Genomic DNA, 20,306 nt, shown 5'->3' on the forward strand with positions numbered 1-20,306 from the left:
GTGAGTTGATTAAATCTCTTTTCTTTGTAAATTACCCAGTCTCAGGTATTTCTTTATAGCAAGATGAGAATGGACTAATACACTAGTCCTTTGGTCACCTTGCTCAAATTGTTTTCATAGATTCCCAGAATCACAAACAAAATAGGAGGATATTAAAGGTCGGAAAAGATCCTAGAGAATATTCTTCAGATGAGGAAACTGAGGCTCAGAAAGGCAAATGTCTCACCCAGGACTCCACAATTCAGCCTAGCTACAGGCATGTCAAGTTTTTCTTTAGAGCAGCCATGGTAGACACTGTTGGTTATCTGCTCATAGCTATTCCCATCCCTTTCTTCTTTGTTAGAAAATCCCACCTCCCATGATAGCAGTCAAAAAAGACAAATACCATTATGCATCACTTAATGATGGGGATATCCTCTGAGAAATGCACTATTAGGCAATTTTATCACTGTGCCCACATAATAGAGAGTACTTACACAAACCTAGATGGCATAGTCTACTACATACCTAGGTGGGCTATATGGCACAGCCTATGGCTTCTAGGCTACAAACCTATGCGGCATGTACTGTACTGAATAGTGTGGGCAATTGTAGCACATGGTAAGTATTTGTGTAACTAAACATATCTAAACATAGAAAAGGTATTGGGTTGACATCGTGGGGGCTATGACGTCACTGGGTCATAGGAATTTTTCAGCTTCATTATGAGATGATGGGATCACCATCCTGTATGCAGTCTATTGTTGACTGAAATCTTGTTATGCAGCATATGACTGTACTTGCTTTCCTAGGGATGCCATATGATCCATTTATGGCCACTGAGATGTAAAGGAAAGTCTGCTTGATGGTTTTTGAAAAAGATTTTTCTTCCTCATGAAAAGAAATATAAAAGAGCCACCTCTCCTACTTTCTGTCTTTGGATCTGAACCACACAGCCTCAGGACAAAAAAGCCAACATCTGAGGAAGGTAGATCAGAAGAATGGAAAGCATTTGGGATCTTTATCTATGAGTCCTGAGCTAACTCTTGGGACTGCCTACCTGCAGACCTTCTATTACATGAGATTATTTATATCTTTATGTCATATATTCTGTTACTTGCAGCTGAGTGCACCCTGGATGTATGACTGCTTTATTTCTTCATTTTCTATCTACCCCATTGAGCTCCATAGAGCAAGGAATTGGCCTATTTTTTCATTGCCGTATCACCAGTTCTTAGAAAAGAGCCTGGTACATGGTCAATTCTTAATAAATGTCTGTTGAAGGAATAAATGAATGAAAGAATGAATGTCAATAACCTTAATTGGCCCTCTACTTCTGTAGAATAAAGTCCAAAGGCTTAGCTGGTATTTAAGGCCCTTCATGATCTGGCCCCAATCTATCTTTCCAGGCTAATCTTTTACCTTCACATACCCTACAACTCAGAAAAGCTGGGCTATTTCCTGTCCTTCCAAATATCCGGTCTTAGTCCATCTGTGCCACTATTACAAAATACCACAGACTGGGTCATTTATAAGAAACAGAAATGTATTTCTTACAGTTCTCCAGGCTGGCAAGTTCAAGATCAAGGCACTGGCAGGTTCAGCTATCTGGTGAGGGCTGCCTCCTCCGGATGGGAAGAATGTTGTGTCTTCACATACCAGAAGGCAGAAGCGCAAGTCAGCCAAACCTGCGTGAAGGCTCTTTTATAAGGGCCTTAGTCCTATTCAGGATGGAGTAGCCCTCATGGCCTACTCACTTTTTAAGGGCCCCACCTCTCAATACTATCACATTGACAACACCTGAGTTTTGGAGGGGGCCCATTCATACCATAGCACAGCCCTCATGCTTTTTTGGCTCCCTGGACTGGCATGTGCTTCTCTTCCACCTCTCTACTTTTCTCTCATTCTTCAAGCTCCAGATCTTCTCTCATAGCACGTTCTCCAATACCTTTCAGGTATAAATGCCTTTTCTATTCCGTGTTTCCTTCTCCTTTGTGCCTTTATCACTCTTACACATTTATGATAACTGTTTGGTGTACTAATCTCCATTAGATTAGAAGTTCCTTGAGGCTAAGAAATTCACCCTCCTAATTTCTATGCTTTCCCCTAGTAGGTGGCTAATACATTTTTGTGAGTGGAGGCATAAATACTATTAAATTGAGCCCATTAAAAATTTCCATTTTAAAAATAATTTAGACCCAGGAATTGGTGCAGACTGTCATGGAAGCAAAGATCAGGAGGCGAAGGAAGGGAGGGAAAGAGACTTGTTGGAAGTGTTAGGAGCAAGCACAAATGTCTTTTCTCTTGCCGATGATAGAAAAGTTCTTAATGGAAGATGATCCCAATCAATAGAGCCAGACAGCTGATTTATATAATGGCATCAAGCTGAAATCGTGGTCTTTGCATAGTGTTGTGAAAGGGGAAGAGGCTACCAAGACTGGAATAGCCAGGGGACTCCACAAGTAGATCTATGAGTATCAGTCGGTGGTCGTAAATATGTTTCCCTACCAGCAAGCCACAGAGGAGCTCCAGAGAGCAGCCTGCTTGAGGCTGGTCGCGGAAGACTGACGGTGGGGCTAGTGAGGCTGCTGTATTTTGGCTGCCGCCGCCGCTGCTGCCACTGGGCAGATACCGCAGTGAGGGGTCTGACCGCGCTGAGTGCTCTCGGGAATCTGGGCTCTGGCTAGGAATGAGAAGTTAAGAGAGGGAGGGCTGAGAGGTGGGCAGGACTCACCAAGGAGCTGCAAACCCAAACGAGAAATCTAGGGAGCAAAAGGAGAGGAAAGAGTGAGCTTGAGCCAAGACATCAGGCCAAGTGGAACTGGAGGAAATGTCATCATTGGTAAAGGAGGACTTGGAGAAGAAACTGTTTAAGCCACTCTCGCAGAATCTGTACGAGTTTATTGAAATAGAGTTCTCCGTCCAGGACAGGTATTACCTCTGTGTGTCAGGTAATCTGTTCCTTCTGTTATCATTTCAAAAAGCAAGTCACCCAAAGATGCTTGGATGATAGAGGGAATTTTTTTTTTTTGTATTTATTTTCCTATATAGCACGTGTACCTTCTTCTGATAAGAACTTAACTATGCCAGGTTTAAGAATTTGGGTTCTACAGAATTTTTTAGAGTGTTAAAAATGAAAGAAAAAAACATTGTATTAGAATACTTTGGTTAATTGTGGAGAAATGAAACTGATGTGTCCTTCTCCTGATTTGATTATTTTGTCTCCAATCGTTTGTTTAATTCATTTGCATGGCATGCAATTTTATTGTGCAAGAGCTCATTTTTAAAAATGCAACAGAGAGCTCTCTGTATACTTTTAAATACATTGGAGAATTGAGTTATACAGCACCATTTGCAACTCGTCTGGAACACTGGCATTCTCCCTTTTCATCCTAGGAAAAAAACAAAGCCTTAGATTTTCTTCTGAGGGCTTTAGACTTCTTGTGGTTTATTTGAAGACAGAAATTATATTTTAAAACTTCTTTCTCTTATAGGAAGTGTGCTCACAAAAACAATACCTTAATGGTGAAACTAGTTCATGAAAATGGAACTTTAAGGATAAGAGGATGTCCTCCAAACTGTTTAACTAAAATAAAGATTTTTACCCTCATGTTTCCAAAATTCATAAAAATTGTCCAAAGCTAGGAACAGGCTTTTGCACTTAATTATGATTTGCCTAACCTGTGATTTCTGTGCTGAATTTAGACAGGAGTGCTCATGCCATTATTGAACAGAATATACAGTATTCCCTTTTCTTGGTCCATGCCTTTTAATACTTTTCAGGCGTTTAGGAGAAAAGAGCTTAGAAACTTTGTGTTCATCGTGGACTTGCCTATCTAAGGAACACACCTATTTTCAGAAAACAACTTCTTATAATTCCCTTTCTGGTAATTGACTTAGAAGGCCTTTCAAAGTTGTCAGGAGGGAGTGCTGTAAGGGAAATAGAATGTCTTTAAAGAACATGCCAAGAATTTTTAGAATTCTGTCATTTCTAATAAATATAGTAATATTTACCCAATAATAACATTAGAAATATTTATCTGACACTTTAGCATATTTTGCTATATGACTACAAAGTATAGAGGGTATTCTAGCGACATAAAAAAATTAATTGGCCCAGGAAAAAGAAATTAAGTATTTTAGAAAGTCAATTAAAAACAATATAAGTAAGAAACTATATTGTATCCTAGCCATCAAATCACTGTGTCTTAAAATATTTTTACTGAATATATTAGAGAAGATGCTTATTCCAACATTAAAATGTAATAATTTTGTATTTGTTGTAATTTCCACTTTATAAAGCTGATTTCTCATTGGTAACATTAGTATACACATATTTTTAAAGAAAAACATGAAAAATTAAATAATCACAATAATTTATATATCTAACTTACCAAATATATCTTAGTTTCTCCCTCCAAATTATGTAATTAACTAGACTTGTTCTATCTGACATGAAAAAAAAGTCTCCTAGATTTAAATGTTTGGAAATAATTCAATAATTCTGTCATGTAAGAAACAAGGAAAAAACAAGATCTCAGAGATGAGGAAGAGAAGACAATATTGTGCTATTCTAGATACAAGTTAACTTTATAAGCCATGTCAGTTCACTAACTTTTCACTACTCTCTTCTACATCACATCATCAATTTGAGAGCACTTTCTCCAAATGTAACACCTTTTTATGGCAATTAAAAATACATTTTGCTGGAACAGTAATTTAAAATAAGTCAGCGTGTTGCTTGAATAGTCTTGGCTTTGACCATGCTTGACTCAGACAATTTCCATTGGTAATGAATCAAAGAGATCACATCGTAATTGTTGAGATGTGAAACTCCATACTTTGAACGATGGCCACCTTCAGGGAGTAGAGTCACATTATGATTTCCTCTTTATTCCCTACAATCTAGCGCTTCTAAATTTGTGAGACTTGCGAGTCCAGTGTAGTCAAATTCCATCATGTATTTTTAAAATTAACAAAAATATGTTTAAATATGGTTAAGCTTTCTCTTTATATGACCAGAGTCTCTCTTTTGCAGGGGTCTTGCAGCCAAAGGATTATGACTTACTGTTAAATCTTGATATTTACCTGGTTGATGTCAAAATTAAATGTCAAAAACTCAATTTCCCTTTCTGGTTTGCTAGGATGTACATGGGGGATTTCCTGGGACCGCAGCCCACTCCCACCTTAGGGTTTGCATGGTCATTTCTCCCTGGAACTAGCGTCCCCTACCTAGAACATTATCACTGGAAGTTAAAAGTAGCATCTTCTTATGAAGCAGGGAGGAGCTCTATTATGTGCTGGCACTAGAAAGGAATAAGTCACATGTGCAATTGTGAGAGTGCACATGAATTAAAGAAATGCTGAAGGACTTGACATAGCATATTAAAGCATTAGCCAAAACTGGATGGAAAGTAACAGGGCATAGTGGAACAGACCTTCACACACTTGGAATCAGGCAAACTTGGTGTGAAACCTGGTGCTGCTTTGCCACCCACCAGCTGTGAAATCTGGGGCGAGATAAGTAGGCTCTTTGGCCTCAGTGGTGACATCTCTGAAACAGAAATAAAAACACTTATATCTGCCCACAGTGCTCCCCTGTTAAATTCTTACTAGGATAAAACCAAATGTGATACACTGTATTCTAAATAAATAGAATTAAATTAAGGTTATAATTTTCAGATATACAGAAAAAATAATTTATCATTAAAAATATGCTGAAATATATGTGTATATATGTATATACTATAAATACATATTTATAGTAAAAACAAAATAGTAAACATGTGTGTATATTTAATATAAAATTAAAAATTGATATATTGTATATTATGTTAATTTAAAATTATATGTATATTCAGATGTTGATTATTTTTCAGTATTCTCATATTTCTAGAAAAACATCTTCCATTCATAGCTATTAATCTGAAAATAAATGGCATTTGCTAGAATTATAAAAATAATATGCATAAATTCTCTATACATATTGTTTTTTTAAGCCATACCAGAACTTCTCTGTGAATCAAAGAATCTAATAATCATTTACAATAAGAATGTTAACAATAAGATTGTTAAATAAGAATGAGTTAATGAGAAAAGGAGGTTGCTAAAAACAATTTTAAAGACTTCATTTGGGACCACTGCTGCTACATTTGTGAATTCCCAATATCTTAACAACAGAGAGCACAATCTAAAGAATTTCTTTCTTTAAGTTGTCATTTCAGGAGATGATAGTATTGTCTGGAAGAGGTTAGTTTAATTTTTCAGCTGTGAATTGAGAACAAACTATCCTAATACATAGTGTTTTGAAGAATTAAACATGGACTAATGTTTTAAAAAATTTTCATATAATTAAAGATGTTATTAGCAGCAGTAGAATAACAATTATGCAGGCCAAAATATATCCAAACAGCTATGCATATGTTCTGATTATAGAGCCAAACATAGTTTATGTGTATATTCTTTTTCAAGTTGCAGTTTTACTCAAGGCTGTTTTTTGTTTGTTTGTTTGTTTGTTCGTTTGTTTGTTTGAGACGGAGTCTTGCTCTGTCACCCAGGCTGGAGTGCAGTGTCACGATTTCGGCTCACTGCAATCTCCGCCTCCTGGGCTCAAGGATTCTCCTGTCAAGGTTGTTTTGCTACGTAATAATTTAATATCTTCCCTTTTATGACCTATAATACTTCCTTTAATAAATATGAATAGATTTGGTTCTGCGACAACACAGAAATCTTGTGCTCAAAAAGAGAACACACTTGAAGAAATTCTAATTTGATGGTGTTTATTATTCTCTACGTTAAAAAATAATGAAAAGAAGAAATATAGGATTGATTTCCAAGAGATACATTTTATTAAAAAATAAAATACATATATCATAAAATTCCCAAAACTTACTAATTGTTACTGATTGTAACAATTAATTACAATCACAATTGTCAAATGGGGAACAGACCTTGAATATTAAAGTAGATTTTATACTTTAAAATTCTTGCTCTTTGTCTTCTAAAGGTAGAAAAAAACACTTTATTATTTTTGTTCAAGACTCTATATTTTTTTCAAGTCTCTCTCTCTCTCTCTCTCACACACACACACACACACACACACACAAACACAAAATGCATTTGTGGAATATCACTAAATGTCTCTATGGAGGAATTTATTTAAATTTAATTTAATTTTATTTTTTGAGGCAAGGTCTCACTTTGACACCCAGGCTGGAGTGCAGTGGCCTGATCTTGGCTCACTGCAGCCTCAACCTCTGGGGCTCAGGTGATTCTCCCACCTCAGCCTCCTGAGTAGCTGGGACTACAGTCATGCGCCACTATGCCTGGCTAATTTATTAGTGTTTTTGTAGAGATGGGGTCTCGCTATATTGCCCAGGCTGGTCTCGAACTCCTGGCATCCAGCCATCCTGCCTCAGCCTCCCAAAGTGCTGGGATTACAAGCATGAGCCACCACACCCAGCCCTATGCAGGAATTTAAATAAAATATTCTGACTCTCCAAATCAGGGTAATTGTAGGTGAAGGTTACAATATGGAAATGATGAAGCTCCCATTTGAGTCCTCTTGTTACCTTGCGTTTATTGTGACTTAGCATTTAGTTCTAAAAGGGCCGGTAGCTTGGATTTTAGAGTAGGGATATTATCATTATCTCTAAAATGAACAACCCACATCACCATCATCAGTCAGTAACTTACGAGACAGATTTTCCCAGTGGCTAATCTATTACCTTGGAGATCTAAATGTGGAAATCAAGATGATCTGCCAATTCTAAACTCCAAGCCATTTGCATCATTTGTAGAATGAATAGGAGCTTGATTTCAGAGCTTTGAAGGGGGGAAGTATTTAAAATTTTTCATTATTAGCATGGCATTATTGATGATGCAATAAAAGGGATAGCTGTAAGGCATGCCTGCTGAGTGTCAGGCACAAGTCCATTTAGTACCATTTATATGCTTTATTCCTTTTAATCTTCACAACCAGCTTATGTGATAGATAAAATTCCTGTTTTACAGACGAGGAAACCATAGGTCACAAGAAGTTAAGTACCTAGTCCAAGGCCCACAGGTCATAAATCTGATTCTAAAACCCAGGTTTTTTTCGACTTTACCATATTGCTTCTAACCAGTAAGAGTAGATGCTTTTCTTAACACATTTGCCCGGCACTATGGTAAGTCCTTCACATATTTTATCTTATTTGCCACATCTAGGCATGATAAAATTGAAGCATACAGTAGCTAAATAACTTGCCCAAGATAATCAGCTGATAAGTGACTAATGGAGGCTTTAAATCCAGGTCCACTTGTGCCAAATTACTATGCAATATTACTTTTAGTAGGGGTACTGAGAAATGCTAGATTGGAGCTCATAAAGCCAAACCTTGCATATGCCTCATTGGATGTCCCTTCTCTCTTGGTGCTTCTATTCCCACAAAATCACTTTCCTTCTCTTTCATTCTATCTCCCGTTCTGTAAAAACATCAGCAACTCATGTCCTTACTTGCTTATAACCAATCTTTTTCATTTTAAAGACACTCAGTGTAGCCCAAAATTTGATTTTAAAAAATATTTCTAAAGAAAAATATTATTTGAAAATTACTCTTTTGGCCAGGCATGGTGGCTCACACTTCTAATCCCAGCACTTTGGGAGGTCGAGGTGAGCATCCAGATCACCTGAGGTCAGGAGTTTGAGACGAGCCTGGCCAACATGGTGAAACTCTGTCTCTACTAAAAATACAAAAATTAGCTGGGCATGGTGGTAGGCGCCTGTAATCCCAGCTACTCAGGAGGCTGAGGCAGGAGAATCGCTTGAACCCAGGAGGCGGAGGTTGCAGTGAGTCGAGATTGTGCTGTTGCACTCCAGCCTGGGCGACAAGAGCGAAACTCCATCTCAAAAAAAAAAAAAAAAAGAAAGAAAAGAAAAAAAGAAAATTACTCTTTTGATGAAAGTAATGGTAGTCTTCTCAGTGACCCAAGACAGGACCATATATGTTGTAACATTTCACTGATGCTGCTTTTCTTCAATATCTCATAGTAATTTCTCTCCATTATTTAACTTAAATGATGAAAACAATTGTAAAACAATAGGATGTAAAAGAAGAGTTGTTTCTTTAAAGCATTCTGTGCAACTTACTTGTGAGCTACTGTTTTTTTCTATTCTGCCAAATTATATTGGATCAATCGGGCAATGTTTCTTCCATTTAGCCTCATGAATAATAGTGACTATTTTACCATGGTAATAGAGGCATTTATTAATGACAAAGTTTATTTTAAAATTTAAAGTGAAAATAAATGATTGGCATGAAGTTAAAATTATAATTCTGAAAATGCTGACTAAAATTAAAACTGGAACAGATTAACTCTGAAATTCCCTGAGTCTACAGATATGCTCACTAAATCATAGTTTGATAATGGAAACTCTGATGTTACTGAAAACAACTCTCTAACATTTTGATTATATAAACACATTTCTGTTTTAAGACAATGTGATAGGTTTCCACTTTGCCACTGCATTAATGTGGATACGGCCATTTAATTTTAGCTGGCAGCAAAGCTGAAGTGTGGAAATTAGGGATTGGGTTGACTCCAGGCTAAGTAGACTTCTTTGGCTTGTGGCTAAAGACAATTCTTGGAGACTCCTTAGCTATAAAGGAAGCTGTTTTGTCAAAAGGTTAACTTTTAAAGAATGCTCTTTTACTTTCTTAGTTTGGTGTTAATGGGACAGTGACCATTAATGTAAGAAAATGTGATGACTCGTAGGACTCACCTTCTTCATGTCTCTTCTCTCCATTCCCCACCTCCAACCTATCCTTTATGGAAGATCACAAAATAAGTTTCTGAACCTTAAAAGCTCAGTCTGTCCATTCACTTTAAATCCTTCAGTGACAACTTCTCTCTCTTATACAGAGAAATGCATGGCTTTCAGAATAACCTTTGATCTTCTCAGCCTGGTATTCTAGACCCCTCAGGAACTAGTCTTGCCTAACTTGTTCCCTGCCACCTGTCCACCCTCACACCTCATGCCAGCAATACCAGATGCTTTTAATGACTTAAAAGTGTCAAGTATTTCATGCCTTTGTGTGAATGCTTTTCTAGAACTACCTTTACCCATCTTCATTCTGCTAACTTCTACTGCCATTTACAACTCAGGTTACCTCTCTCAGGAAGCTCTCCCAGACCCCCACTTGGATGAAGACATCCTTCCTCCACGTTCCTCAATTACTTTGTCTATTTCTTATTTGCAGAACTGTAAGCACAGGTTTTCTTTCTGAAGACCCCACTCCCTACAATCTCAGTGACAGCAGGAATGATGCCTTATGAGATTTAATGTTTTCAATTCCTAACACAGTGCTTGGTACAAAAAGGGCACTCGAATATTTATCAATTTAATGAGATGAATGTGTGGCCTACAAATGACCATAACATGCTTTTCATAACATGTAGATGAGGCAGTGGAATTTGCTCCATGAAAATTACATTTTTCATACCTCCCCAACCCCATTCTCTCCCACCCCCTAAGCACCATGTGAGACATCTAGCTGGAGCAAGAACATAGTCCTTTGGTTCTGGGGTACAGCTTCTTTCTGGGCATACAACTGCCTCCTGGTGGAGGAAAATGTCTCCAAGATCTTGTCCTTAGTAAGCATGACAGATTCAAGTGTGCCTCCACTTCACCACCTCTGCCTAACAGCTTCACTTTTAATCCTTTCGTCTTCCCAAGACTAACATCTACACCAGTGGAGACGGAAACTTTTTAGTGCTAGAGAAGGATAGGTGGGCAGAAGCCCACCAACTTTGGTACACTGTCAGAGGGATCACAGACTCTAAACTAGCTCATTGACCCCAAGTTAAGATCTTCTGCTTGAGGTCCTCTCCAGAAGATGTGCCTTAGTCACTCTCTCTGCCTCCAAAACGTATAATCCCTCCTCTTCCAAACTCCTGGAATATGTGATCTCCATCATAGCCTTTAGTCTTCCTTCCTATTACCTTTGTAAATCCTACCTAACCTTGAGGCTGGCACACAATGTGCACTCAAATAGTGTTAGTGCATGAAGGAGTCCTCTGCAAGTTGTCTTCTGCCCTCAGCATTCTAGAGAAACTGCCCTCATGGAGGAAATTCACGATCTTCTTCCAAGTCAGATTCAGTGCTAGGGCTGAACTCTGCCTTACCTAATAAAGGGACTTAACGGGATTGTCTCCAAACCTTTAAACTTCACCATCCTCTTGATTCCCATAGCATTACACAGCTGGGCCTGTCTCTCAGACCCCTTCTCAGACGTCTTTCCTGGCATCTATTTTTCTTCTCACTTTCTCTCACCTCTTTCCTCTGCTCTTTTCTCTACAAATGTGGTTTGGGGGCCAGGCATGGTGACTCTCACCTATAATCCCAACATTTTGAGAGGCCGAGGCAGGAGCATGGCTTGAGGCCAGGAGTTTGAGACCACTATCACTATCACTGGGTAATACAGTGAGACCCGTCTCTACAAAAAAGATAAAAAAAATTAGCCAGGCATAGTGGTGCATTCCTGTAGTCCCAGCTACTCAGGAGGCTGAGGTGGAAGTATGCTTGAGCCCAGGAGGTTGAGGCTGCAGTGAGCCATGATCATGCCACTGTACTCCAGCTTGGGTAACAGAGTGAGACCCTCTTTCAAAATGAAAAACAAACAAACAAACAAACAAACAAATGACGACAACAAAAAACTGGCCTTGGAAACCTTTCCACAGGAAAAAACCCAAGTATCTCCATTCCTAAACTACAAAACTTCCATCTCATTCTCTTTTGAGATAATTTGTGGCTACTTCAACTGTGTGTCAAAAACAAAACTCATTTTTCCACCCAACCAACTCACCCTCTCTACTTTCCTATTTGGGTTTGTATTCAGTGTTTGGTTTTCATCCAGTGTTGTTTCCATCCAGTGCTATTTTAAATCTTACTTGGATTTTCCACGTCTTTATCCATGACCCACATCCCATGCCCAGGTTACTACAACAGCCTCTTAAAACAAACAAAACAAAACAAAACATTTTTAACAGTTACTGTAAACCAGGCACTATCCTAAGTTCTTTATATATTTTGTCTACTTTAGTCTTTACACCCTATGAATTTGGATCATTCTGATGTCTATTTTACAACATAAGAAAAGTGAGGTTTAATCTCTCTAGAGATTAAATCATTTACTTAGACCACACTGTTGAGAGGTGGTGTCATGATTTAACTCCAGAATGTCCAGTGCCAGAACTCATTAAGCTGCATTGCATTTTCCAGGGTCCTCCAGTTCCTCTTTCATTTCTTCTTCCATGTATCCTGTACATAACTGCTGCCAGAAAAATTCTTCTTTAATAGAGTACCATTTTATTAGTCTTTTGCTACCAAAGGAGGGAGACTCAACGAACAGGTGTTGCTATAAGAGCTTTTGCTGAACACCCGACACAGTGCCTTCTTCTGAGATTTGTCAGACTGCTTCCACTCCCTTCTCCCGAGGACTGAGCTCTGTCATCAACTCTCAGCTCAACTGGCTGTCTTGATTTTAGTATCACTGGCACCATCAGGCAATGGATGCTCCCTTTGCTAGACCCAATTCTAGAGCCCTTACTATAGTAGGTCAGCCTCACATCACTCCATCCAGAAAAGAGAATTCAGACACAGGTCCAAAGTGGTTTCTGTTGCATTTCAAATCCAGAGTCTTTCAAAACATTTTCACAACCTTCTGTACCTAGTGAATCCTACTGCCCACATGTCTTAACATCAACCAACCCATGCAGTCCACTTTCTTTGATTCTACCTGGTGACGTTAACTTCTATTGCTGATGCATCTCCACATGCTGCCCTTCACCTAGAAATGTCTGCAGTATGACCCCTGTCTTTTCAAAATTTAAGCCCCATCTCAAATTCTATTTCATTTGTAATTCCTGCCTTAACTACTCCGATCCTTTCCCTTCTCAGAACTCCTATTGAACATGTAGTCTGCTCCACATTACTTATCTTTCACTATGATTATACTGTGATATATTGTTTCATGTCTACAGCGCTAGGAGAGCATGTCAAAGTGATGCTTTCCAGAACCAAGGGAGAGTCACTCTTAGAAGACAGAACCAGCTTGCAACTCTCTAAGTAACATTACTCATCTTGAAGGGAAATCTTAGGCATTCGATCCCCACCTGCCACCTCTTTATAATATGTTATTGTATGTGACATGTGTGTTAGCCTTGTCTCCCCAGTGAAACCATAAATTTTTAGAGGGCAGGGACCATGTCTTTTACTTGTATCCCCTGCGGCATCTATTACAGTTCTATCATGCAAGTAGCAAATACTCAGTAAATACTCCTTTATTATAATAACTCATTGATAATTTTCAACTTAAGAGCTCTATGCTCAAATATTGATTCTTCTGATGTGTGTATATAAGACCAAATGATTTTAAGACAAAAAAAGCATTTCCCTCATTTTGTTCCCACAAAATAAGCAAAAATTTTCCCATATCTTTCAAAGTATAGTACTAAAAGCTTTTGTGCAAATAGCACATTTTGAATACTAGAATTTGAGAGACACACTTGAGAGGATTACAATCTCGAGCAATACCAAGCGGGTTAACAATAGCTGTGATGCAAGCATTTCTACATTGTAAGTCTCAGAGTGAATTTAAAGGCAAGTGTCCACAGTTACTGCGGTATTTGCTTGGTCACTTACTCTTCAACACTGTGTTGCTGTAAAGCAGTACTGTTTACTTCCATGACCTCATTTGCTTATATTGTCATAAATTAAAATTCCAACGTGTTCTGATAAACACTTGGCACTGACTGTATGCTAAGGCTAAGCCTCTTATTTCCTGCCCCAAGATGAACCCTATTCTCTACCACAATGCTCAGAGCTCAAAGCACATAGCTCAATGTTCTATTTAACAGACATTACTGTGGCAGTATGTAAGCACAACTGTAGCAAAAATAAAGTTAATACGTTGAGCAAATTTGGGGGCATACTGTGAAGATTCAGATACATCAGGACTCACAATTGAGGCGCAGCTATAATGTGGGTTCAAGGTCATTTTATTAAAAGGGGATACATAAATACCAAAAAGTATGACTTGAATAATTTATTAGCTTCTAAGAATTTATGTAAACTAAGTATTTTTCTGTCCTACAGTGACCAAAAAGGAAGAAGTAAAAATAGTCATGGTGAAACACTACAGAATAGGTTTAGATGAAAAATATGAAGTAACAAAAAAGTGGTCTTTGAACGATCTGCAGATGATTGATGGAAAAGAAGCAGATACTGTAAGTGTTACATTTTATAAGGAGATGTGGAATCAATATGCTGGAGATCTTTATGTTCAATATCCTGCTTCATATATTCTTGGCATGTACTAAGTGTTAAGATGACATTATATTGTTCGTAAGTGGCATAGTTTAATCTACTGGGATGATGTACTGGTTTTTTTATTCTGTTTTTATGAGTTTCAAGTGAAATTTTGTCTATTAAATTTAAAAGCACCTTTCCCAAGGGCCATTTAACAGGTTAAACACAATCTACCAGTCAATCCTGAAAATTTAAATGCCACTTTTCCAAATATATGATGCTTCTACCATCACTTTCTCCCCACCACAATTTCCTCTATAAATTTAGGGGATTTCTTCCCTCATCTTCAAATTTTACCATCAGCAAGCCCACTTTATCCTCTAGAAGGATGGAAATCCTATAATCTTAGAGTTGAAAGTGGAGAAAGAGTAAATACTACAATCTCACCACTTGACCCCTGACAAGTGATTTTCACAGTCTGTTTTTGAACTCTGCTGTTGATGGAGAACCCTTCCCCCTTGAACTTTCTACCTCCACAATGCTCAAGTACTGGCTCCTGAGGCTTCAAATGCCCAATTACCTTTAACTGTTACCCAGATTTCCCATTGAGTAAAGTCCTATTGACTCTCTGCCCTCATACACTCATTATGGCATGGGTGGAAATGTATTATAACCATAATCCTACAAACTGCAATTGTTGGGTTACTCTGAATTCCCTCTAGACGGAAAGCTCCTTAAAAATTAGGTCCATGGTTTTCATCCTTTATCATAGGCTGATAGATGATAGGCACTCAATAAGTCTTTGTAGTGTTATTGTTGAATGAATTAGAACTTTAAGTTCATTTATTCTTAATCTTAATAAATGCCATAGTCTTCATTTGGCCTATTGTTCCAACCTTTAAAATCTTCTAATATCGTTATTTTTTAATATCACTATAGTATGATTCAGATTTAATGAGCACAACATTGAGGACTTCATCCAAGTCAATAATAAAATTGATGAGGCAGGCAGGGCCAAGTATGTACCTCTAGATCATTGATGGTTACCATTACTACTGCTAGTAGTACTGTTACTTGCTACCAACAATATTCAGTAAACTCTTATGAGGTGCCAGAAACCAAGCTAAGCTCCTTTCATGTATATTTTTACATAATCACCATAAAACCTCTTGAATTAGATTCTATTATTCCATTTTACACATGAAGAAAGTGAGACTTAAAGAGATTGACTTGCCCAAGGTGACATAGCTATTAAGTGGTAGAGCTAGACTTTACCCAGAAATCTATTAATTTGCCTTCTTTGGATTGGTTGTTGAAAGCCTCTACAAATTCATATATTCATTTATTCCTTCATTCATTTATTGAGAATTTATTGTATACCAGGCCCCACTAGGCTCTGAGGATACAGTAGAGAATTAGCCAAAAGCACTTATCTCTGCCTTAATTATTCATCTAATCTGAATATCTAAAATTTGTCATTTACTAAAATCAACATATACTATCTGCTATTACCTGGATTTTTCAACTTAAAAACCTTTTTAAAAAAGTTGGTGTGTTTGACATGACTTCTTGGCAAAAGAATGCTGGATTTCATTGCTGTGTTTCCTAAATATTCATGTAACACCTTTTTGACAATATGTTCTACCTAAATGTTTGATGCTTAGGAAATGGTTAAATATATTATTACATATTTATATGATAGAATATTATACAGCCATTATAAAATATGCTTCCAAAAGAATATCTCAGAACACAATTGTTCAGCCACTTAACAAGTTTTCTAAAAATCAGCTAAATATAAAACTTTTCTAAAATATTACATCAATTTTGCATATTTAGTTTGTCATGTTATTGAAATATGAATCTTAATGTTTTTACAAAAAATATGTCAGTATATGTATATATGTATATACATGTATAAGTAAAACAAACCAGTACTTTAATAAGTTACCTCTGTGATAAGATTACAAATTTTTTAATTATTATTTTCTATTTTATATTTTTCTGTACTTGTCAAATTTCTATAATACTGCATTTAATTTGATCAGAAGTGCAGGTCAAGTTCACTAATCTGTAGTTTCAGGAACTAGCCCCACAAATTAACTATTCCCACCAATCTTTGACCCATTTTTCTTGTCTTTTTTCTCCAGCTCTCAAATATTACCGATGTTATCATTGATTTTTACAAGTTTGCTCAATGCCTAGGATTATATTCACCAGGACTGTCAATTTAGATTCATTTCAAATCAACTAACTGTGCTCTATTTTTTCCTCACTTTTGATGGCCTTTAATTCCATCCCAACATTGTTGATTCTTCCCTTTTCCCTTTCCAATTTGAAGATTATTATCTTTCATAGTGAACAAGATACAAAATATAGGTTGAGTATTTCTGGTTTTCTCATCACTTTAAGACCTAAAATACTCAATTGCCAGAAGAAAAACCATAATATCTAAAGAGTAGTTCTTGCAAGGTTTATTTTCTATAGATGAAGTAAAAATACCCTGACTGTTCTGGGAATTTCTACTTCTCTTTTTTAAAATCAAATCCTTGGGGGTCAGCATTTATTACATTTTTTACATTTACATGATTGCATTTAATTTACATAAATGTAATAATTTACATTATTACATGTTTTACATTTACATATCAATACCAATGATACAGTTTTATAGAGAGCAATTTTGAGCCAAAAAGTTGTCAACTTTAAAATGTAATGGAATTGAAATTGAAGTCAATTTATAAAGCAGAAATCAAAATGACTGGGGATTTGGAGACTGGTGCAACAGGAGACAGGATGATGTAGCAAAAATTGAGCTTGTGCTGATTGAGATCTTGGGTTTTGTCCTGGCTCTGCCAATAACTAAATGTGTGACCTGGACTTCATATCTCTGGAAACTACTGTGTTATCCCAGCTAAAAACATATCAATAAATGATTCCTGAGATCCCTTTTAGTTCTAGCATTCTATCAAAAAAGAGAGAGAAAGAGACAGGCAGATTTGTATCCTATGTGCATGCATACTCAGGCTCCAATTATTACGCTAAAGGAAAATATTGCTCTGTTGCAATTATCTCAAAGGCATGAGGGGTATTTTCTACCTGATGAGGAGCAAATGTTTGCAAGAGAAAACTCCCTAAGGAGCATGATTGGTATCTGGTGATGCAATGGATGTGCTTTCCCTTTATGGAGATTCTTGGCAGAACTGTCTTTCAAGCTGTAGTTATGAGCGCCAGAAAAAAAAAAAATTGTGAATGTGACTATAAAAGTGCTGCGCTTAAAAACCACACCACCTTTATACATTTTTTAAGTATGATTATGGTTTTTTTAATTTTTATTTTATTTATATCTTTTTATTTCAATAGGTTTTTGAGAAGCAGGTGGTGTCTGGTTACATGAGTAAGTTATTTAGTGGTGATTTCTGAGATTTTGATGCACCCATCACCCAAGCAGTGTAACTGTACCCAATGTGTAGTCTTTTATCCCTCACTGCTCATCCTACCCTTTCCTTGAGTCCCCAAAGTCCATTGTGTCATTCTTATGCTTTTGCATACGCATAACTTAACTCCCACTTATGAGTGAGAATATATGATGTTTGGTTTTCCATTCCTGAGTTACTTCTCTTAGAATAATGGTCTCCAATTCCATCCAGGTTGCTGTAAATGACATTATTTCATTCCTTTTTATGGCTGAGTAGTATTCCATGATATATATATTATATAAATCATAATATATGTTATATATATTATTATTTCTTTATCCACTTGTTGGTTGATGGGCATTTGGGCTGGTTCCATATTTTTGCAATTGCAAATTGTGCTACTATAAACATGCATGTGTAAGTATCTTTTTAATATAACGACTTCTTTCCATCTGGGTAGAAACCCAGGAGTTGGATTGCTGGATCAAATGGTAGTTCTACTTTTAGTTCTTTAAGGAATCTCCCCCTTCTTTTCCATAGTGGTTGTGCTAGTTTACATTCCCACCAGCAGTGTAAAAGTGTTCCCTTTTCACCACATCCATGCCAACATCTACTATTTTTTGATTTTTTGATTATGATCATTCTTGCAGGAGTAAGGTGGTATTGCATAGTGGTTTTTATTTGCATTTCTCTGATCATTAGTGATATTGAGCATTTTTTCATGTTTGTTGGCCATTTGTATATCTTCTTTTAAGAATTGCCTATTCATGTCCTTAGCCCACTTCTTGATCAAATTGTTTGTTTTTTTCTTGATGACTTGTTTGAGTTCCTTGTAGATTCTGGATATTAGTCCTTTCTTGGATGTATACATTGCAAAGATTTTCTCCCACTCTGTGGGTTGTCTGTTTACTCTGCTGATTATTTCTTTTGCTGTGCAGAAGTAAAAGCATGATTATGTTTTGTTTTTAACTTTTTAAATGGTAATATCACAATCTTTAGGAACTATCATTTATTAAGCTCCACGCTCGTTTACATGATTATTCGCATGTAAATTTCACAGCAGCACTATCTAAAATAAGGAGAAAAATGAGAGTCAGATCAGATAAGCATTTTGCCCATGGAACAATCAAAATGTTGTCTAACTTTAAAATTCATCCTCTATTTCCTGCCTCCTGCAAGAATTTTCCTATTTAAAAAACAAATTGCAAATATGTAAGTTGCCTGTATGTGATGTTACATACTACATGCTGGTGAATTATTAATACTCCTGTTTGGTTGAGTCCTCTGCCTATTTGTTATTTAGGGCAATGTTTGCCTCCACTTCTCCTTTCTTAGGACTACTTCAGGTCAGTTCAACACACATTTGTTGAGAAATTAGTAGTCATCACGCATAAGTACTAAGAACATGATGATAAATAATGCGAAATATCTGTCTTAAAGAAGAGTTAGGAGTTAGGCAGATAATGAATGTGAAAGCATTTTGTAAACTTTTTAAATGCAAGGCATCATTGTTACTGCTATTAACAGTAACAATTATTATTTTAACATGTAGGACCTAGATCAGGTTTGGTTTCCACTTTTTCTTGAAACATTTCTGCTACAGATATAGTAAGAGCCTAGAGGCAGTCTTTAGTAAATTTGTCAGTTTCAGTCAAATGATTTGATCGTCCTTGCTATTACCTTCAAAAGTAATTCCTTGCTGTAAACTTCAAAGACAGCAAATTGGTGATCTGTAGCATGCCAATGGCTAGCTATCATGTATTTCTTCCTTCTACCTTGAAATAGCACAAGGAACCAACCTCGTACTAAAAAGGGAGAGGAACCTTTTCTGTTTTCCAGAAGTCTGTGAGTTTATTCTCTGCTTTATTTATTTATTCCCTACTCATCCTCTCCAATTCATTACATTGAGAAGACTTAATAACCACACAGTCTGAGGCACATTTTATTTGTCTAATTGAAAAAACATAGATGCTTCAAAAATAACCTTTCTTATTGTTGATTTTTAGAAGCAATTACTTTGAAGTAGGTAGCTTTGGAAAGCCCATTTGTAGATTTTAGAAATATGTTTGATACTGATACTTTACAATCAATAAACATATCCAAGAGAATATGAGAGAATCCAGGAAACCTAACTACTTTCTTGGCTACCAACTAAATCATGTCTCTCATTCTCTTCCAGGACAATCCATTTTTTGATCTGCACTTCAAGAAAGTGTACAGTTTGGAAGCATATAGCTGTGCTTCTAAATATGCCTTTGCTCGAACTGTAAATAAGCTGAATCATGCATATCTTAAAAAGGACTTACAGATCGTGAACTTTGATTCTACATACATTAACGATGATTCCATTTGGTCCTCCAACAATAAGGATTGTTTGGTCCTTATGAGAATATGCTTTTACGCTTTCAATCTTGTGTGCTTGTCCCTATGTCCCTTGCCACTCTGAAGCTGTGTACCACATTCCTTCATCAGTGACCTATGAAAATGGTTTCCCAAGTAAATATTGATTGTCATAATTTTGTTTTTCCTTCATCAGTGATTATTATAATTTAAATAAAAATAAAGTAATGCTTTGTGAATTGCAGTGAAATGCATTTTAATGTAATCATTCAACATTG

At 36.7% G+C, this 20,306-nt stretch overlaps 1 protein-coding gene and 1 long non-coding RNA gene across 4 annotated transcripts; one reads left to right on the top strand and one right to left on the bottom strand.

Annotated features, from left to right (window-relative positions):
- Positions 1-2,572: 2,572 nt before the first annotated feature.
- Positions 2,573-20,272, top strand: EXOC1L (exocyst complex component 1 like). 3 transcript variants are annotated; one of them, NM_001351574.3, is made up of 3 exons: positions 2,573-2,930; positions 14,117-14,247; positions 19,868-20,272. In NM_001351574.3, exons 1-3 carry the CDS (start codon positions 2,810-2,812, stop codon positions 20,132-20,134), a joined length of 519 nt encoding a protein of 172 aa, NP_001338503.1. In that variant the 5' UTR covers positions 2,573-2,809; the 3' UTR covers positions 20,135-20,272. The 3 variants fall into 3 exon arrangements, with proteins under 3 accessions (NP_001338503.1, NP_001338504.1, XP_024309953.1); NM_001351575.3 differs by having other exon boundaries at positions 2,573-2,910; XM_024454185.2 differs by lacking the exon at positions 2,573-2,930 and adding an exon at positions 7,929-8,147.
- LOC105377661 (uncharacterized) lies at positions 3,836-7,800 on the bottom strand. The gene is made up of 3 exons (XR_941062.2): positions 7,707-7,800; positions 5,418-5,533; positions 3,836-3,909 (listed from the first exon to the last, which is right to left on the bottom strand). It is a non-coding gene; the product is annotated as an uncharacterized LOC105377661 (long non-coding RNA).
- Positions 20,273-20,306: the final 34 nt, after the last annotated feature.

Source organism: Homo sapiens, chromosome 4, assembly GCF_000001405.40.
Source record: "Homo sapiens chromosome 4, GRCh38.p14 Primary Assembly".
In the NCBI taxonomy this organism is placed as follows: domain Eukaryota; kingdom Metazoa; phylum Chordata; class Mammalia; order Primates; family Hominidae; genus Homo; species Homo sapiens.

What these genes read in the sequence shown, in the direction of transcription:
- EXOC1L (NM_001351574.3), top strand. Translation starts at nt 2,810, where the DNA reads ATGTCATCATTGGTAAAGGAGGACTTGGAGAAGAAACTGTTTAAGCCA. An exon ending in GTATTACCTCTGTGTGTCAG is followed by an intron (nt 2,931 to 14,116) that starts GTAATCTGTTCC and finishes TCTGTCCTACAG; the next exon opens with TGACCAAAAAGGAAGAAGTA. An exon ending in ATGGAAAAGAAGCAGATACT is followed by an intron (nt 14,248 to 19,867) that starts GTAAGTGTTACA and finishes ATTCTCTTCCAG; the next exon opens with GACAATCCATTTTTTGATCT.